This window comes from Homo sapiens, chromosome 7, assembly GCF_000001405.40.
Source record: "Homo sapiens chromosome 7, GRCh38.p14 Primary Assembly".
Taxonomy (NCBI): domain Eukaryota; kingdom Metazoa; phylum Chordata; class Mammalia; order Primates; family Hominidae; genus Homo; species Homo sapiens.
In genome coordinates, this window is record NC_000007.14 from 111,642,361 (window position 1) to 111,643,553 (window position 1,193).

Here is a 1,193-nt window from a genome sequence, read left to right on the forward strand (position 1 = left end):
GTTCGGCAATTATCACATTGCCTCTCTAATAGTGATAAATTGGCTATTTCCTGAGGGTCCACACCTGTCAACATTAAAGTATTAATTAAAGGCAGACCCCAGGGAGAAGAAACTTCCTGGGCATGCACATTAAGAGTCAAAAATGGCGAAGTATGATCTTCCGGGTACACTTCACTGTAAACAGGAAGAAAGCCTCAGATGGGCATGCATACAACTTCCTAAAAACACTGCGCATGCTCACTTCCCAAGGGTAAGGAGGGCTCTGCACATGCTGGCAGCCAACCCTAAGGGAAGAATCATGAGAAAGAGGCAAGCCTATGAAAGTCCTAGGATCACAGTTAAAACAGAGCACTGGACCTCTCTCTACTCCTCATGCACCCTCCTGGATCTCTTCCAAGTGAACTTTCCTTTCTTTCCTGTTCTAAGGCCTTTTAAATAAACTTCCACTCCTGCTCTGAAACTTGCCTTGGTCTCTTTTTCTGCTTTATGTCCCTCAGTTGAATTCTTTCTTCTGAGGAGGCAAGAATTGAAGTTGCTGCAGATGCGTAGGGATTTGCTGCTGGTAACTCAGGGTAACTCAGATCTCTTCCACCACTAACAAGAGGTCAGGCAAGCCTCATTATCTCCTCCTTCCTTTGGAGTTCAGAAACATCATAACACTAACAAAATGGACTTTTTTTTTTTTTTGAGACGGAGTCTCACTCTGTTGCCCAGGCTGGAGTGCAGTGGCATGATCTCGGCTCATTGCAAACTCTGCCTCCCGGGTTCACACCATTCTCCTGCCTCAGCCTCCCAAGCAGCTTGGACTACAGGCACCCACCACCACGCCCGGCTGATTTTTTGCATTTTTAGTAGAGACAGGGTTTCACCGTGTTAGCCAGGATCGTCTCGATCTCCTGACCTCGTGATCCACCTGCCTCGGCCTCCCAAAGTGCTGGGATTACAGGCATGAGCCACCACACCCGGCCCAAAATGGACTTTAAGTTAATAGTATCTTAACTTAAAATATTCCTTTCTGTTGACTCCAAATTTTTAGACAAAACTTTACTTCTTTAACCAATTGCAAATTGGAGACTCTCTGAACACACCTATGACCTATAAACCCTCGTGTCAAGATAATGCCACCTTTTTGGGCCAAATCAGTGTCTAACCATTTATGGATTGATGACTTTGCCTGTGACTTCTCCTTCCCT

General features: G+C 45.6%; 1 annotated feature.

The window, feature by feature from the left end:
* Positions 279–479: a silencer, noted in NCBI's record as "peak6689 fragment used in MPRA reporter construct". NCBI's record gives its function as "represses an SCP1 promoter by STARR-seq MPRAs in K562 erythroleukemia cells {active_cell/tissue: K562}" and the evidence as "EXISTENCE:reporter gene assay evidence [ECO:0000049][PMID:32103011]".